Raw genomic sequence first — 19,958 nt, forward strand, 5'->3', positions numbered from 1 at the left:
ACCAAAGCTGCAAGGTCACCGAGACACCAGACATTCTGAGAACATGGCTGTGGCAGAGCTCTATTGGATGTTCTCTCCCCAACACCCACCATGCAGCAGCCAGGAACAGCAGGAGAGCCCCTTCCTCTGTAGCGTCCTTCCAGAGCCCCCAGTTACTCTCACAAGGATCTCACATTGTGCTCACTGTAGAGATGCTTAAAGGAATTCTGTCCATTATGGCAGAGCATATGTTAAAGGGTGAATTTGGAGCTGAGAGACAATAATTTTTTTTAATTTTATGTATTTCTTTATTTTTATTTTTTGGAGACAAGAGTTTTACATTGTTACCCAGGCTGGAGTGCAATGGTGTGATCTCAGCTCACTGCAACCTCTGCTTCCCAGGTCCAAGTGATTCTCCTGCCTCAGCCTCCTGAGTAGCTGGGATTACACGTGCCCACCACCCACCTGGCTAACTTTTGTATTTTTAGTAGAGATGGGGTTTCACCATGTTGGCCAGGCTGGTCTCAAACTCCTGACCTCAAGTGATCCACCCACCTCAACCTCCAAAAGTGCTGGGATTACAGGTGTGAGCCACCGCGCCGGGTCTGAGAGGCAGTAAATTGACAACATCATCTCTAACAGGACAAGTACTTTACCATGATCCTCATGTCCCTCTGATCTCCCATCCTTGTCCCCTCCATTCATATTGATGTTGTCCAGAATTTTATTTTAGAGTTATGAATATTCTCTTTATTTCATTAGATCCTAGCCTTATTAGTATAGCAATAACAAGGAACAGTTACCAAAATAATTACCAAAATAAATCACCCTTTCTTTCCATTTTTTGTTTTTTTGTTGTTACTGTTGTTGACACGGAGTCTCACTCTGTCACCCAGGCTGGAGTGCAGTGGTGTGATCTAGGCCCACTGCAACCTCAGCCTCCCAGGTTCAAGCGATTCTCATGCCTCAGCCTCCCAAGTAGCTGGGATTACATGTGCTCATCACCACGCCCATCTAATTTTTGTCTTTTTAGTAGAGACAGGGTTTCACCATGTTAGCCAAGCTGGTCTCGAACTCCTGACCTCAAGAAATCAGCCTGCCTTGGCCTCCCAAAGTGCTGGGATTACAGGCATGAGTCACCGCGTCTGGCCTCTTCCCATTTTTCTTGCAGCATCTGTAGGATTTCTCTTTCTCTCTGTCTCTCTCTCTCTTTTTTTTTTTTTTTGGCCCTTCCTCCAAAACTTTTTCCAAATGGGCCTCTATGTGGCAATCTTTGTGAGGCCTCGTGAGCTTGAAGTTATTTTTTTTCAGGTTTTAAAAATAACTTTCATTGGCTGGGCACGGTGGCTCATGCCTGTAATTCCAGCACTTTGGGAGGGCTGAGGCAGGTGGATCACGAGGTCAGGAGTTCGAGACCAGCCTGGTCAACATGGTGAAACCCCGTCTCTACTAAATATACAAAAAATTAGCTGGATGTGGTGACTGGCGCCTGTAGTCCGAGCTACTCAGGAGGCTGAGGCAAAAGAATCACTTGAACCCGGGAGGCGGAGGTTGCAGTGAGCCAAGATCATGCCACTGTACTCCAGCCTGGGCGACAGATCTAGCTAGACTTTGTCTCAAAATAAATAAATAAATAAATAAAACTTTTATTTTTTTAAAGTTAATGTGTGCATTATAGGAAACCGAAAAACACAAGAAGCAAAGAACAAAATCATCCACAATGGCAAGCACTTTACAGTTTGACGTGTCCTTCTAGGCCCTATGTGTGTATAGACACATTTAATTTTATGGGATTGAGATCATTCAGTGTGTATCATGCTTTTTCACACATCATGAATATTTATCAATTCAAAATCCCCAAGCCATTTGAGTATTTTGATAACCAAGAATACACTACACCAGCTCAATCTGTTAGAAAAAATGTAATCCTGTCTTTCTTGGGACAAAAATTTCATAGAAGACAAAAATGGCAACAAGCCTGTAGATGAAAGCATTGGCAGAGTTCGATTAAAATACTGCATTCCCTTAACGCTCAATTTAAATGAAGTTATTTTTTGTAAAGTCTTCATTGATTGACAATTCAGTTGTAAATTTCTTGGTTCACAATTCTTCCCCTTCAATATTTTACTTCCTGGTCTGTTTGCATCCAGGGTTGCTACAAAGAAATTTGATGTCAGTTTGAACCTTGTTCCTTTGCAGATAATCTGATCTTTCTCTCTAGAAGCCTCTCTCTTTCATTCCCTCTCCTTCCCTTTCTATATATCTATATATCCATGTATCAGCTTTCTCAGCCTATTTGCATGCACGTGGGCCAAATATGGCTATTCCAGCCCAATATTACACTTCCTCAGTTCAAGCAGCCAGCAGGGTTTGACCAGATGCTCTCAGTTTTAGTTCCAAATTCCTTGAAAGGAGAAGCTGATTGGCTTAGCTTGGATCTGGTATACACTCTGGGTCTAATTAACCATGACCAAAAGGAGGGTCATGGCTGCTAGGCTCACTCCTCTGGGGGAAGGGACAAATCTTATAGAAGAGAGAATGGTGTGGTATTGATGATTCTGTCCCTTGTTCAGAGGCCAGATTTATACCTGGCTCCTGTGCTTCCTGTCCAGCTACTGGTATGCAGTTGTACTGAGTGATGGCTCCTCTGAACATGGGTTTCTGTTCCCTGGACTCACTAACTCTCACAACTTTCACTTTTACTCCACATCAGCCACCCACACCCTGGAATGTATTACTCAGAATGATTTCCCTCTGAAAGTGTATGTATGTATGTATGTATTTACTTATTTATTTATTTATTTATTTATTTATTTATTTATTTATTTATTGAGGCAAGGTCTCACTCTGTCACTCAGGCTGGAGTGCAGTGGCATGATCACAGTTCACTGCAGCCTCCAACTCCTGGGCTCAGGTGATCCTCCCACCCCAGCCTCCTGAGTAGCTGGGACCACAAACATGTACCACCACGCCAAGCTAGTTTTGTATTTTTTTTTTTTTTGTAGAGATGGGTTTTGCCATGTTGCCCAGGCTAGTCTTGAACTCTTGGACTCAAGCAATCCACCTGCCTCAGCCTCCCAAAGTGCTGGGATTAGAGGTGTGAACCACTGCACCCAGGCCCCTCTGAAATTTTAAATTCAAGCTTCCCACTTCAAAAAATTTTTTTGAAACAGTTTGTTTCCCAGGCTGGAGTACGGTGGCACAATCACTGCTCACTGCGGCCTGGACCTCCGGGCTCAGGCAGTCTTGCCTCAGCTTCCCAAATAGCTGGGACTACAGGCACGTGCCACCACGCCCCGCTAATGTTTGTATTTTTGGTAGAGATGGAGCTTTGCTGTGGCCCAAGCTGATACTGAACGCCTGGGCTCAAGCAATCTGCCTGCCCCGGCCTCCCAAAGTGCTGCAAGCTTGTGGGGAAAAGCAAGAGAGATCAGATTGTTACTGTGTCTGTGTAGAAAGAAGTAGACATAGGAGACTCCATTTTGTTATGTACTAAGAAAAATTCTTCTGCCTTGAGATTCTGTTAATCTATGACCTTACCCCCAACCCCGTGCTCTCTGAAACATGTGCTGTGTCAACTCAGAGTTGAATGGATTAAGGGCGGTGCAGGATGTGCTTTGTTAAACAGATGCTTGAAGGCAGCATGCTCCTTAAGAGTCATCACCACTCCCTAATCTCAAGTACCCAGGGACACAAAAACTGCGGAAGGCCGCAGGGACCTCTGCCTAGGAAAGCCAGGTATTGTCCAAGGTTTCTCCCCATGTGATAGTCTGAAATATGGCCTCGTGGGAAGGGAAAGACCTGACCATCCCCCAGCCCGACACCCGTAAAGGGTCTGTGCTGAGGAGGATTAGTAAAAGAGGAAGGAATGCCTCTTGCAGTTGAGACAAGAGGAAGGCATCTGTCTCCTGCCTGTCCCTGGGCAATGGAATGTCTCGGTATAAAACCCGATTGTATGCTCCATCTACTGAGATAGGGAAAAACCGCCTTAGGGCTGGAGGTGGGACCTGCGGGCAGCAATACTGCTTTGTAAAGCACTGAGATGTTTATGTGTATGCATATCTAAAAGCACAGCACTTAATCCTTTACATTGTCTATGATGCCAAGACCTTTGTTCACGTGTTTGTCTGCTGACCCTCTCCCCACAATTGTCTTGTGACCCTGACACATCCCCCTCTTTGAGAAACACCCACAGATGATCAATAAATACTAAGGGAACTCAGAGGCTGGCGGGATCCTCCATATGCTGAACGCTGGTTCCCCGGGTCCCCTTATTTCTTTCTCTATACTTTGTCTCTGTGTCTTTTTCTTTTCCAAATCTCTCGTCCCACCTTACGAGAAACACCCACAGGTGTGTAGGGGCAACCCACCCCTACACAAGCTTCCAACTTTTTGACCATAACCACAAGCGACCCTTCTGTCACAGCCTCCCAAGTAGATGAGACTACAGGCACATGCTACCACACCTTTCTAACTAAGGTCTCTCCTTATCCAAGTCTAAACTTGTTTTGAATTGACAACATTCACTGCTCTTGCACTTTGCAGGCTTCCTACACTCCTGGAGAATATTGTACTCCTTGGAGATCATTGCCCTACAAAAATCAAGTTTCTTCTTACTCCCTTCACACTCCCAGATAGTAACTTTTTACTTCACTCTAAAAATAGAATGTGGGTCAGATCCAGTGGCTCACACCTGTAATCACTAGCACTTTGGGTGGCTGAGGCAGGAGGATTGCTTGAGGCCAGGGGTTTGAGACCAGCCTGGTAAACATGGCGAGACCCTGTCTCTATAAAAATAGAAAAACATAGCCGAGCATGGTGGTGCACGCTTGTAGTCCCAGCTACTCGGGAAGCTGACGTGGAAGGATCACAGGAGTTCAAGGCTGTAATGAGCTATGATCACGGCACTGCACTCCAGTCTGGGTGATAGAGCAAGACCCTGACAAGAAACAAAAGAAAAGAAAAGAAAGAAGGAAGGAAGGGAGGGAGGGAGGGAAAGGGCGAAGGGAGAAGGGAGGAAGGAAGGAAGGAAAGAAGGAAGGAAGCAAAGAGAGAGAGACAGAAAGAAAGAAAGAAAAAGAAAAAAGAAAGAAAAAGGAAAGAAAAAGAAGGAGTGGCTTGGGAAAAAATAGAATGTATTAGTTGGGAACTTGCTTAACTTGTGACAACTAAAATGAGTGATTGAGGCATAAGTCTCAAATCATGGAGGTTTATTGAGCCATCTTGAGAATCAGTAAACATGAGTCACAGAAACATCTGTGGCTGTTTGGAGAATCTCCAAAGAGCCTACAAAGAGGTTCTCAGGAGGTTTAGTGTTTATACGTTTTCCTTAAAGGCGGAGGTGGGGGAGGCCCACAGTAAGACAAATGATTACATAATTGTGAGACTTTAGTTAGTGCCCAGTAAATCTACCTTTTACATAAGACAAGGTGTACATTTGAAGAAAAAGGGAATAGGAAGCATGTCTCAGGAAGGGGTGAAGGAATCAAAAAGGATTACTCTTGTCTTTGTTCTGTACCAGGTAAGATAAGCCAGTAGTCTTTTGAAAGGGCTGGTTTAGGGCCAGGTGCGGTGGCTCATGCCTGTAATCCCAAAAATTTGGGAGGGCAACGTGGGCAGATCACTTGAGCCCAAGAGTCCAAGACCAGCCTGGGCAACATGGCAAAACCCTGTCTCTACTAAAGATACAAAGAAACTAGCCAGGAGGCTGAGGTGGGAAGATCACCTGAGCCAGGGAGGTCAAGGCCACAGTGATCCATGATTGTGCCACTGCCCTTCAACCTGAGCAACAGAGGGAGACCCTGTCTCAAAAAATGGGGGGAAGCAGGGAGTTCTGTTTAGCCCTTAGGGAAGAAAGGCTAATGACTGGTAGCGAAGGAGGGGGTATAACAAGGCCTCTCTGATCTCCCATCTTATTATGGCCATGAACTCAGCTTCCAAGGTTTCTGTGGGGTTCCCTTGGCCAAGATGGGGTCCATTCAGTCCATTGGAGACTAGAATTTTATTTTTATTTCTCATTTGTCACAGCTACAAACTTTCCTATCTTTTCTTATTCCCCCATGAACCCTGAAAATTTGGGACAGGTGTCAATTTAGAAAGTTTATGTTGCCAAGGTTGAGGACACGCGCCCGTGACACAGCCTCAGGAAGTTCTGACGACATGCGCCCAAGGTGTTGAGGCACAGATTGGTTTTATACATTTTAGGGAGATGAAACATCAATTAATATATGTAAGAAGTACACTGGTTCTGGCTGGGCGCGGTGGCTCATGCCTGTAATCCCAGCACTTTGGGAGGCTAAGGCGGGTGTATCACCTGAGGTCAGGAGTTCAAGACCAGCCTGGCCAAGATGGTGAAACCCCGTCTCTACTAAAAATACAAAAATTAGCCAGGTGCGGTGGCGGGCGTCTGTAATCTACTCGGGAGGCTAAGGCAGGAGAATCGCTTGAACCTGGGAGGTGGAGGTTGCAGTGAGCCAAGATGGCACCACGGCACTCCAGCCTGGGTGACAGAGTGAGACTCTGTCTCAAAAAAAAAAAAAAAAAAAGTACATTGGTTCCCTCCAGAAAGACGGGAACAACTCAAGCAGGGAGGGGACTTCCAGGTCACAGGTAGGTGAGAGACAAATGGCATTCTTTTGAGTTTCTGATACGCCTTTTTAAAGGAGGCAATCAGAATATGCATCTATCTCAGTAAGCAAAGGGATGACTTTGAATAGAATGGGAGGCAGGTTTGCCCTGAGGAGTTCCCAGCTTGAATTTTCCCTTTAGCTTAGTGATTTTGGGGGCCCAAGATTTTTTCCTTTCACACCCCTCACTACGCTGGAAAGGTACATCCCTGTCCCCTTGTCTAAAGCTAATTCTTCCACCTGGAGTCTGGACCCCATTCTCTCTTGCTTTATCAGGGACCTGGCTTATCCCAGTATTCCCCTGTTCATCCTACGCCTTCAAGCTTACCATCTCCATGATTTGGCCACGTCAGCATGACAAACATGACAGAGCAGGAGTATCACCACCTTGGCCAAGCACTGTCGTTTTAAGTTTACCTTGATTAAAAACTGCCTAAATCCAAAGGGCATCAGCCTAATGGCTAAGGTCAGCATGACCATAAACCACAAATAACATCTCCGACCAGACACATTCCAGACTCCTCCCTGACCAGAGACATGCCAGCCCCAAGATAACCTCCCTGCCAGCTGGAGAGATGTCAGCCCCAAGATAACCTTCCCTCCAACTAGAGACATTCCAACCCCACCATAAACTTCTCCCCGACACAGAAACATTCCAAGCTCTCTCACCAATAAACACTTAGTCTGTAATAGAGCACGCTCCTGACTGAAATCAGCCAGAAGCCCCTCTCAGGTTTATTGCTCCAAAATAAACCTGTCTTGACTGTTGAGTGCTTTTCATGTTTCTTCCCTCTCTCTTTATTTAACTCTTTGTAGAGTTAAGGAAAGTGCTTTAACTTTCTTTGCTTAAGTGCTTAAGTATCTCCTGTTGACAAAAAGAGTCAAACTCTGTAAAATATTTGCAGAGATTTATTCTGAGCCAGATACAGTGACCATGGCCAGTGTTACAGCCTCAGGAGGTCCTGACAACATGCACCCAAGGTGCCCGGGCTGCAGCTTGATTTTATACATTTTAGGGAGACATAAGGCATCAATCAATACATACAAGATGTAGATTGGTTTGATTTGGGAAGACTGGACAACTGGAAGTGGGGTGTGTCCAGGTCATAGGTGGATTCAAAATTTTCTAAATGGCAGTTGGTTGACTTTATCTAGGCTGGGCATGGTGGCTCACGCCTGTAATCCCAGCACTTTGGAAGGCCGAGGTGGGTGAATCACCTGAGGTCAGGAGTTCGAGACCAGCCTGACCAGTATGGTGAAACCCAGTCTCTACTAAAAATACAAACATTAGCTGGGTGTGGTGGTAAGCACCTATAACCCCAGCTACTTGGGAGGCTGAGGCTAGAGAATTGCTTGAACCTGGGAGGTGGAGGTTGTAGTGAGCCGAGATTGCACCACTGCACTCCAGCCTGGGTGATAGAGGGAGACTCTATCTCAAAAAAAAAAAAAAAAAAAAAAAAAAAAAAGACCTGGAATCAATAGAAGGAGTGTCTGGGTTAAGATAAGGGGTTGTGGAGACCAAGGTTCTTACTATGCAGATGAAGTGTCCAGGTAGCAGGTTTCAGAGGTAATAGATTATACATGTTTATTATGAGACTTAGAAAGGTGCCAGACTCTTAGTTAATTCTCTCATTCTCTCCTGGATCAGGAAAAAGACCTGAAAAGGGAAGGGGATTCTCTACAAATGTTGATTTTCCCCACAAGAGTCAGCTTTGCAGGGCCATTTCAAAATGTGTCAAAGAAATATATTTTGGAACAAAATACTTCCATTTCTTTCAGGGCCTCCTATCTGTCATGTTGGTATCTTATTGCTACAAAAAGTATGTTTTCTCAGTCTTAAGGTCTCTGTTTCACTGTTCATGCTGGTCGGCTGTGCCTGAATTCCAAAGGGAAGAAGGTATAATGAGACATGTCCAACCACCCATTCCCATCATTGCCGGAACTAGTGTTTCAGGTTTACCTTAGAATGCCCTTGGCCAAGAGGAGGGGTCCATTCAGTTGTTTGGGGTGCTTAGAGTTTTATTTTTGGTTTCCACTCCCATATTGAAATCTTCTCACCTGGCCGGGCATGGTGCCTCACACCTATAATTCCAACACTTTGGGAGGCTGAGGTGGGCAGATCACCTGAGGTCAGGAGTTTGAGACTAGTCTGACCAACATGGTAAAATCCCGTCTCTACTAAAAATACAAAAATTAGCCTGGCATGGTGGTGCATGCCTGTAATCCCAGTTACTTGGTAGGCTGAGGCAGGAGAATTGCTTGAACCTGGGAGGTGGAGGTTGCAGTGAGCCAAGATCACACCACTGGACTCCAGCCTGGGTGACAGAGTGAGAGTCCATCTCAAAAAAAAAAAAAAAAAAATTCTCCCCACCTGACCTTATGGGCTGCTGCTTTCTCTCCTCCTCCCACTTCCTGGTCAATCGAGTTTAAATTGTCTTTTCTTCTTACCATCCATGGTGAGAAGGTGTGTTAGTGAAGCAGCCTTGTAGTCTGGAGTAACACCCAAGGTTCCTTGTCTCACAGCCACAGGAACAAGAATGCAGACACACAAAGAGTGAGGTTGAGAGTGGAAGTTTACTAAGCGAAAGAAAGAAAATAGCTCTCTGCTGCAGAGAGGGGTCCTGGAAAAATGGGTTGCCCAATCCATAGTGAAACGCAGGGGTTTTATAGGTGATCTGGTGAGAAGATGGTGTCTGATTTACATAGGGCATGAAAAACTGATTGGATCAGGTGTGCCATTGGCATAGGCGTGAATCTTCGGTAACCCCAGCCTGATCTTTTATCATGCAGGTGGGTTCTCTGCCTAGACTGTGCTATGTTGCCCATTTCTTTATTGCTGTACAGGTGGTAACAAAAAAAGGGAAGATGGAGCCTCCATGTTGGACATGCCTGGCCCCATATAGCCCTTTTCTGTTGGCCCTGCTGCTGGCATTCCCCCATGCAAGCTTCTAGCTTCCTTATTTATGTTTGCAGCTCGATTTTTCAAGCTGCTCTTTGTTTAGAAAAGAAATGATTTGGGGGCTGCTTTTTGTTAGAAAAGAAATTCTGCCGAGGACTCTTTTGCCTTCACTACCTCCCTAAATAATTTCTTTCTACCTCCGGTATCGTTAGGACTTGGGGAATGTATCTGAGTCATGGGGCACTCTTCCACCCATTACAGTCTAGCTTCAACCCTCATTACTCACTGAATTGGCTTTGGTCAAGGTCGTCACAATCTCCTTGTTGCTAAATCCAGTGAAGCCCCATCAGTCCTTTTCTCTGCAGTAGCTGACCCTACTGGCCACTCTCTCCTTGAAGCACTCCTCTTCCTTTGGCTTCTCTAGTCCTACACTTTCTGATTGTTCTTCAGCCTCTCTAGCCTTTCCCTCAAAGTCTCTGTCAATGCTCCGTGATTATTTTTGTGTTTCTGCTGGTTTGGTTTCCTGAGCACAGGAGAACTTGCTTAGATGTGCTAGAAAATGTTTCCTTTTCTCCAGACCCGTTTGATCGTCACATGCCAATGGTGTTAAACTTGGAGCCGTCTGCTCCCATTCAAAGGATAATAAAACTGGCCAGGCGCAGTGGCTCACGTCTGTAATTCCAACACTTTGGGAGGCCGAGGCAGGTGGATCATTGGGTCAGGAGATTGAGACCATCCTGGCTAACACGGTGAAACCCCATCTCTACTAAAAAAATACAAAAAAATTAGCCAGGTGCGGTGGCGGGTGCCTGTAGTCCCAGCTACTTGGGAGGCTGAGGCAGGAGAATGGCGTGAACCTGGGAGGTGGAGCTTGCAGTGAGCCGATTGTGCTACTGCACTCCAGCCTGGGCGACAGAGCAAGGATAATAAAACTTATCTTGGCTGAGTGTGGTAGCTCTTGCCTGTAATCTCGGCACTTTGGGAGGCCAAGGCAGTCAGACTGCTTGAGTCCAGGAGTTCAAGAGCAGACTGGGCAACATGCTGAAAACCCATCTCTACAAAAAAATGCAAAAATTAGCCAGGCATGATGGTGCATGCCTGTAGTCCCAGCTACTTGGGAGGCTGAAGTAGGTGTGTTAGCACTTTAGGGAATGTATCTGAGACACACAGCAACAAAATATGTTAGTGGTGGTGAATCCATAGGGTCTGTAGCAACCTCAATTCTTGCCTCCTCAGAAGAATTCGACCGAGGGGCATAAGGCAGGGTGAGAGACTGAGGCACATTGTAAAGGAGAAGTGAAAATTAATTAAAAAGCTTTAAAGGCTGGGTGCAGTGGCTCACACCTGTAATCCCAGCACTTTGGGAGGCCAAGGAGGGCAGATCATGAGATCAAGAGATTGAGACCAGCCTGGCCAACATGGTGAAACCCTGTCTCTACTAAAAATAAAAAAATTAGCCGGGCGTGGTGGCACGTGCCTGTAGTCCCAGCTACTCAGGAGGCTGAGGCAGCAGAATCACCTGAACTCGGGAGGCGGAGGTTGCAGTGAGCCGAAATCGTGCCACTGCACTCCAGCCTGGGCAACAGAGTGAGACTCCGTCTCAAAAAAAAAAAAAAAAAAAAGGCTTTAGAGCTGGAAAGAAAGGAAATAAAATACACTTGGAGGAGGTCCAAGCAGGTGGAGATCAGGTGTGTGGTTTAACCCTGGACTTGGGATTTTATACGGACTTGGAGGTTTATCCATTGATATGCTTCTGGGGGGTGGCATTCCTTCCCTGATTCTTTCCTTGGGGTGGGCTGTCCACTTGTGGCCAGCACTTGGGAGGGGGTGCATGCGCAGTGTGTTTACCGAAGATGTACACATGCCCACTTGAAGCATTCTTCCCTTACTAGTCAAGTGTTCTTAGAAGAAGGTCATATACCAGTTAAACACAGCCATTTTGCCTCTTAGTGCACATGCTTGAGCCCACTTGCCCAAGTCCTAAGATCTTATAGGGAAGCTGCTGATCAGCAGTTCCAGGAGTTTTCTATCTATTGGGATACTGCCTTTCCCTGGTGCCGACTGTGACCAATTATTATTTTAGAGAGATTTTTGGGGCAGGGCACAGGGGACACGGACTAGCTACCTACTATAACAGGTGGATCCTTTGAGCCCAGGGAGGTTGAGGTTGCAGTGAGCTGTGAGTGCACCACTGAAATCCAGCCTAGGTGACAGAGTGAGACCCTGTCTCAAAAGACAACAACAACAGGCCGGGCGTGGTGGCTCACACCTGTAATCCCAGCACTTTGGGAGGCCGAAGTGGGTGGATCACAAGGTCAAGAGATTGAGACCATCCTGGTCAACATGGTGAAACCCCGTCTCTACTAAAAATACAAAAATTAGCCAGGCGTGGTGGCACGTGCCTGTAGTCCTAGCTACTCGGGAGGCTGAGGCAGGAGAATCGCTTCAACTCAGGAGGTGGAGGTTTCAGTGAGCCGAGATCATGCCACTGCACTCCAGCCTAGCAACAGAGTGAGACTCCCTCTTAAAAAACAACAACAACAAACAAACAAAAACTTATTTCAGGGAGAAATGCTTGCATTCCAAGGTAGGGACTCTCCGTTCTCTTCCTGAGAGAATTTATTCACATTCCAAAGCACTTGTTTACACTAGGGAGATCAGTTTTCTCTCCCTCTCTCAGGAGGGCTGTGAAGCACGTGGGCAGCACGTAGTCTACATAAACTGTCAGGTTTACACTTTCAGGGTTTGTCCCCTGTGAGGCAAGAAACTCTGTTGTATGGTCATGGTCCATCTGGCTCCTGCCATGTCACCTGTAGGGTACTGGACATGGGAAACTGATGCAGTTCTTGCTGTGTGTAATAATATTGTCTGATTTCTGAGCTAGAAACCCCATGTTTGTTTTTTAACAGGAAAAAATTTAATTGGGAGGTCATTGGGCTGAGACAGATCCAGTGATTTGGGTTCCTACATAAGCAACCTGAAGCCCAATGTAAACAGTAAAACAAAACTAGAGACTTAACCAGTCAGAAACTGCTAACTGTAAACCAAAAATTAAAACCTAAGCTCCCCCACCAACCAACTGAAAGGAACTCCTCCAGGCCAAGGAGACCCCAGAGAAACCTGAAAACCTGAATTCCTGGCCATGACAGGAAGGGAGATTGGACACGCCTGATCCTATGCCCTGCCCCCACTTTTTTGGAGTTTAGGCACAATTGACCAGAATTGAGGTTAAAATAGAGATCCTAAGACTGAAAAATACAGACTTTGTGACAATAAGATACAAAATTTCAACCTAACTCTGATATAGCATCACATGACAGCCGACCCTGAAGGAAATAAAAATATTTTACCCCAAAATATATTTCTTTTATATATTTTAAATGGTCCTGGCCAGGTGCAGTGGCTCACGCCTGTAATCCCAACACTTTGGGAGGCCGAGGCAGGTGGATCACCTGAGGTCAGGAGTTTGAGACCAGTCTGGCTAACATGTGAAACCTGGTCTCTACTAAAAATACAAAAATTAGCGGGGCGTGGTGGTGTGTGCCTGTAATCCCAGCTACTTGGAGGCTGAGGCAAGAGAATCACCTGAACCCAGGAGGTGGAGGTTGTGGTGAGCCCAGACAGCACCACTGCACTCCAGCCTGGGTGACAGAGCGAGACTCTTGTCTCAAAAAAAACAAAAAACAAACAAACAACCCCCCTCCCAAAAAAAAAAAAAATGATTTTCTTCATAGAGTTGACATTCTGGTGGGGAGAGAAGAGCATTAAATAAATATATGTCAATTGCTAAGTACTACAGAGAAAAATAGAGCCAAGTAAGGAGAATGGAGAATGCCAGGGGGGGAAGGGAAGGCCTCTCTGATAAAGCAGTATTTCAGTAGCGATCTGGAGGAAGTGAAGAGTGAACCATATGTTTATTTTGGGGAAGAACATTCCAGGAAAAGGAACAGCAAGTGCCAAGGCCCTGAGGGGGGATTGCACTTGACATATTTGAGCATGGTTGCTGGAGCTGGGTGAGAGGAAAAGTGATAAGACATGTACTCAGAGAGGTGAGGGGAGGGGCTCGGCTGCAAATCATGTCAGCCTTTTAGGCCATTGTAAGGACTTTGGCCTGTCCTCTTAGTGAAGAGCCACTGGAGGATTTTGAACAAAGGGAATGGCATGATCCAAAGTTTGTTTTTTATTTTTTTAATTTTCATTTTTTACAAACAGGGTCTCAGTCTGTTGCCCAGACTGGAGTGCAGTGGTTTAATCATAGGTCACTGCAGTGTTGACCTCCTGGGCTCAAGCGATCCTCCTATCTCAGCCTCCCAAGTAGCTGGGACCACAGGCGGTGCCATCATACCCAACTAATCTTTTTCTTTTTTTGTAGAGACAGGGTCTCACTATGTTGCCCAGGCTGGTCTCAAACTCCTGGCCTCAAGCAATCTTCCCACCTCAGCCTCTCAAAGTCTGGGATTACAGCTGTGAGCAGGGAAAGTGCTGGGATTACAGGTGTGAGCCACTGCGCCCAGCCTGATGTTTGTTTTCAAAGGATCCTTCTGGTTGTTGCATGGAGAATAGAATATGAGAGGTCTAGGGCAGGAGCAGTGAGATGAATGAGTTCATTATAATAATCCAAATAAGAGATGGTAGCTTGGCCAGTAAAGCCAGATAGGACCTCCTGTGGGGTATAAGTGAAAGGAAGGAATCAAGAATGATTTCAAGTGGCTTGAGTAAATGGAAGAACATAAATTGCCATTTGTTGAGAATGGGAAGAACTGGAGGAGTAACAGTTGTGGAAAGATGAAATTAGGATGTTACTGGACACAGTGGCCCACGCATGTAATCCTAGAACTTTGGGAGGCCAAGGTGGGATGATCACTTGAGTGCAAGAATTTGAGACCAGCCTGAGCTACATAGAGAGACCCTGTCTCTAAAAAAATGTTTAAAGCTTAGCCAGGTGTGAAGGCCTGTGCCTGTAGTCCCAGCTACTTGGGAGGCTGAGACAGGAGAATTGATTGAACCTGGGAGGCGGAGGTGGCAGTAAGCTGAGATTACGTCATTGCATCCAGCCTGGACGACAGAGTGAGACTCCCTCTCAAAAAAAAAAAAAAAAGTTACTGTTGTCAATTTTATGTTTTATATATTTACCACAATTTAAAATGGCAATATTATACAAGGCAAATAAAGGTTGTAGAAATGTTCCAGATTAAAGGACATAAAATAGACATGATAACTAAATGCAATCAATATCTGACTCTAGATTGGTTCTTTGTTTGCTTAGAGATGGGGTCTCATTATGTTGACCAGGCTGGTTTTGAACTCCTGGCCTCAAGCAATCCTCTTGTCTCAGTATCACAAAGTGCTAGGATTACAGGCATGAGCCACTGTGCCCAGCCTAGGTTTGCTCTTACAATGGAAGGGAAGGAATGCTTTAGACTGGGCATGGTGGCTCACGCCTGTAATCCCAGCACTTTGGGAGGCCAAAGTGGGTGGATCACCTGAGGTCAGGAGTTCGAGACCAGCCTGGCCAACATGGTGAAACCCCGTCTCTATTAAAAATACAAAAATTAGCTGGGTGTGGTGGTGGGCACCTGTAATCCCAGCTACTTGGGAGGCTGAGGCAGGAAAATCGCTTGAACCCGGGAGGCAGAGGTTACAGTGAGTTGAGATCGCATCACTGCACTCCAGCCTGGACGACAAGAGCGAAACTCCATCTCAAAAAAAAAAAAGAATGATTTAAAGGACATTATTAGGACAACTGACAGAATGGGATTATGGATGTAAAGTATTGCAAATGTATGAAGTTGATAACTGTACAACAATTATATAAGAGAATATCCCTATCCTTAGGAAGTACATACTGAAGTGTTCTATGTAACTTGCCCTCAAATATTCCAGATAAATATTAAATTGTTTATGTGTATGTGTGTGGAGAGACAGAATAAGCAAATGAGGTAATATTTTAACAATAATCTGAATAAAGGGCATAGAGTTTTATTGCATTGTTTTATTTTTTCGATTTTTTGGGAATTTGAAATAATTTCTAAATAATGTTCTAAAGTTCAAGCTGGGCATGGTGGCACACACCTGTAGCCCCAGCTACTCAGGAGGCTGAAATGGGAGGATCACCTGAGCAGAGGAGGTTGAGGCTGCAGTGGGCCATGATCATGCCACTGCACTTCAGCCAGGGAGAGAGAGAGACTCTGTCTCAAAATAAAATAAGTTCAAAAACAAACAAAAACCCCAGTGAGCCTGTTCCTTTTGTTCCATTCTCTTTTTTTCTTTTGAGACGGAGTCTTGCTCTGTCATCAGACTAGAGTGCTGTGGCATGATCTCCACTCACTGCAACCTCCAACTCCCTGGTTCAAGTGATTCTCCTGCCTCAGCCTCCCAAGTAGCTGGGATTGCAGGCACGTACCACCATGCCCAGATAATTTTTGTATTTTTAGTACAGATGGGGTTTCACCATGTTGGCCAGGATAGTCTCGATCTCCTGACCTCATGATCCGCCCGCCTCGGCCTCCCAAAGTGCTGGGATTACAGGCATGAGCCACCACGCCCGGCCCCATTCTCTCTTAAACCCACTCTAATCAAACCACCTATCCCACAACTCCACTGAAATGCATTTGTCAAGGTTACCAAATATACCCATTTGCCAACTCCAATGGTGACTTCTCTCACTCTTTCTCTTACTTGACCCATCAGTATTTGACATAGTTTATCACTCCCTCCTTCTTGAAATGTGTGCATCTTTTCACTTCTGAACACCACTTTTTTGGTTTTTCTCTTACATTCCTGGCCGCTCCTTCTAAATATCCTTGACAGTTCCCCTTCCAAACACTGGAGTGCCCAGGGCTCAGTCCTCAGAGCCAACCTATCTAGGAGTTTCTGTACACCCTCAGGGTCATTTCCCAATCTCAATCTAGTGTCTTTTTTTTTTTTTTTTTTTTTTTTTTTTTTGAGATGGAGTCTTGCTCTGTCACCCAGGCTGGAGTGCAGTGGCGTGATCTTGGCTCACTGCAAGCTCCGCCTCCTGGGTTCACGCCATTCTCGTGCCTCAGCCTCCCAAGTAGCTGGGACTACAGGCGCCCGCCACGACGCCCGGCTAATTTTTTGTATTTTTTGTAGAGACGGGGTTTCACCATGTTAGCCAGGATGGTCTCAATCTCCTGACCTCATGATCCACCCGCCTTTGCCTCCCAAATTGCTGGGATTACAGGTGTGAGCCACTGTGCCTGGCCTCAATCTAGTGTCTTTATTCACTCACCTTAGTCTGTGCAAATCATATTCTTCCAGAAATGTAAGATCCTCCTCCCATTGAGGTCTTACTCAAGGCCAAACTCCCTGTCACCTAAATCCTGGTTCAAAGCAGTTGGCGGCTGTACATGGTAGGAAAAGTTTCTCATACTATCCTGAGCACGCATGCTGGGAGAAAGATGGGAGGCTGGAAGCCCCTTCTAATATGCTGGAGAGATCTGAAATGCAATTCTCCCTTCAAAAATCAGAAAACTAGGGCCCAGTAAGGCCATTACTTGTTGAAGGTCATTCAGCTGCTTATTGGCAATGTCTGAGCTAAAGCCCTGTGCTGTCTCCTTAAGTGTTGATTTCATGTATTTGTGTCAGGAGCCTCCTTAAGAATCTGATAAAAGCTGCAGACTTTTTCTCAGCAGAAAAAAGCACTTAACACATGCCAACAACTTTTTTTTTTCATTTAATTTGAAGAGTTTCATGGACTCTCAAAGTACATCTAGACCTCAGATTATAGAAACCCTGCTCTATCAGAACAATCCAAAGCATGGAGAAGTCTACAGCACTACTGATTTAGTACCCTCCACAAATCAATGGTGTGAAAAAGCTGGGGACAGGACTGTAAATGTTCAAGATTAAAAGAGTCTTAGGAAGCATAACAATCAAATGCAGTATATAGGCCTTATTTAATTTTTTTTCTTTTTTTTTGAGATGGAGTCTCGCTCTGTCACCCAGGATGGAGTGCAGTGGCACAATCTCGGCTCATTACAACCTCCACCTCCCAGGTTCAAGTGATTTTCCTGCCTCAGCCTCCCAAGTAGCTGGAACTACAGGCACGTGCCACCACGCCTGGCTAATTTTTGTATTTTTTCTAGAGTCAGGGCTTCACCATATTGGTCAGGCTGATCTTGAACTCCTGACCTCGTGATCCACCCACCTCCGCCTCCCAAAGTGCTGGGATTACAGGTGTGAGCCACCACTCCCAGACTCAATTTTTTGTTTTTTAGAGACAAAGTCTTGCTATCACTTAGGCTGGAGTGCAGTGACACAATCATAGCTCACTATAGCCTTGAACTCCTGGGCTCAAGTAATCCTCCCACCACAGCCACCTGAGTAGCTGGGACTACAGGCGCACACCACCACACATGGCTAATTTTTTGTTTGTTTGTTTGTTTGTTTTGAGGTGGAGTCTTGCTCATTCTATCTCCCAGGCTGGAGTGCAGTGGTGCACTCTTGGCTCACTGCAACCTCTGCCTCTCAGGTTAAAGAGATTCTCCTGCCTCACTTTCCCAAGTAGTTGGGATTATAGGTATGCACCACCACTCCTGGCTGATTTTTGTATTTTTTAGTAGAGAGGAGGTTTCACTATGTTGGCCAGGCTGGTCTCAAACTCCTGAGCTCAAGTGATCTGCCCATCTCCACATCCCAAAGTGCTGGTATTACAGGCATGTGCCTGGCTATATAATATATATATATTATATATATTATATAATATATATAATATATATATATAATATATATAATATATATAATATATATATAATATATATATATTATATATATAATATATATTATATATATATTATATATATATTATATATATATATATATATAGAGAGAGAGAGAGAGAGAGAGAGATAGGGTCACACTCTTATTTGAATTCTGATTCAAACAAACTAAGTATAAAAGGACATTTAGGGAGCCACGCATGGCGGCATGCACCAATGATCCCAGCTACTCTGGAGGCTGAGGTGGGAGGATCCCTTGAGTCCAGGAGTTCAAGGTCAGCCTGAGAAATATAGCAAGAACCCATCTCTAAAAAATGAAAAAAAAAAAAAAAAAAAAAAAAACATTTTGGGGAGGGGAACAACCACGGAAATTTGCATAGACTGAGTATTGGATGATATTAAGGAATTATTTTGTTACATTTGAAAATCATTATATAGAAAAATGTTATTTTTTAGAGCTGAAATATCAAAGTATTTAGGGTTGAAATATGATGTCTAGGATTTACTTTAAAATACTTCAACAAAGAAAAAAATAGATGAAGCAATTTTGGCAAAATGTTAACAATTAATTATAGGCGATAGGGAGCTGGGAGTTCATTATAATACTCTTCTACTTTTGTGATTGAAATTTTTCATAAAAACACAAACAACTGTTCTTTGACATTCTGGCAAAGACAGGAAGATATCTGGGTTGTCACAGTCAGTACCCAAATTCTGAGTGTCCCTGAAGAGTCATTCATAGACTTTCTGACTCTACCACCACAGACTATCTGCTGGGTTTTGTTTCTTTTTACCAGAGGACTCACTAATATCCTGACTCTAGACTAGCTCCTACAATGAAAGAGAAAGATCTACTATAAAGGACATTATTAAGTCAACTGACAAAATTGGAATATGGATGGTAGATTTATAAATGAATCAGATAGGTATTGTTATTCTCTTTCTGGATCTTTCAAGGAATTTATCCATTTCATCTGCGTTGTCAAATGTATGGACATAGAGTTGTTCATAGCAGTCTCTTATCTTTGTAAATATCTGTAGGATCTGTAGTGATGGCTCCTCTTTCATGCCTCATATTTGTGATTTGTGCACTATCCTTTTTTTGACACAGACAAACAGAGGCCAAAAGGAGAAATGACTCAGGTCAAGACTGCAGAGCCAGCTGGGCTATCCTTAACTCCTGCTGCCTTGCCTGGCTGTCAGGTGAATCATCCTTTTTGAGTCTTCCTGCTCCCAGCCCACAGCTCTCACATATCCTTTTTTTAATTTTTATTTTATTATTATTATTTTTTTGAGATGGAGTCTCGCTCTGTCGCCCAGGCTGGATGGAGTGCAGTGGCATGATCTTGGCTCACTGCAACCTCTGCCTCCTAGGTTCAAGCAATTCTCCTGCCTCAGCCTCCCAAGTAGCTGAGACTATAGGCACATGCCACCACACCTGGCTATTTTTTTTTTCTGTATTTTAGTAGAGATGGAGTTTCACCATGTTGCTCAGGCTGGTCTTGAACCCCTGAGCTTAGGCATTCCGCCTGCCTTGGCCTCCCAAAGTGCTAGGATTACAGGCGTGAGCCACCATGCCTGGTCAGCTCTCACCTATTCTGCGTGGCCTGACGTGTAGTCTGCCATGGAAGAGCCCAACTGTAGAGCAAGGACACTCATTGCCCTTGGCCTCTGAGGTGAATCTAACTTCTCAGAATGTTCTCTTGCCCTCTA

General features: G+C 44.9%; 1 long non-coding RNA gene across 2 annotated transcripts in view, besides 1 other annotated feature; it reads left to right on the forward strand.

The window, feature by feature from the left end:
• LOC105372395 (uncharacterized) overlaps positions 1–19,958 on the forward strand; it is a 40,910-nt gene that overhangs the window by 7,025 nt on the left and 13,927 nt on the right. Inside the window, exon 3 of one of the 2 annotated variants that reach the window (XR_935962.3) lies at positions 19,357–19,448. The exons of the other annotated variant lie outside the window; for it this stretch is intronic. This is a non-coding gene — a long non-coding RNA (uncharacterized LOC105372395). The remainder of the gene's footprint in view (positions 1–19,356; positions 19,449–19,958) is intronic. 2 annotated transcript variants of the gene reach the window in all.
• Positions 502–1,002: an enhancer, noted in NCBI's record as "H3K27ac hESC enhancer chr19:38353930-38354430 (GRCh37/hg19 assembly coordinates)". NCBI's record gives its function as "activates a minimal SCP1, AML or CMV promoter by ChIP-STARR-seq in naive H9 embryonic stem cells {active_cell/tissue: H9 hESC(naive)}" and the evidence as "EXISTENCE:reporter gene assay evidence [ECO:0000049][PMID:30033119]".

This window comes from Homo sapiens, chromosome 19 (genome assembly GCF_000001405.40).
Source record: "Homo sapiens chromosome 19, GRCh38.p14 Primary Assembly".
Lineage (NCBI taxonomy): Eukaryota > Metazoa > Chordata > Mammalia > Primates > Hominidae > Homo > Homo sapiens.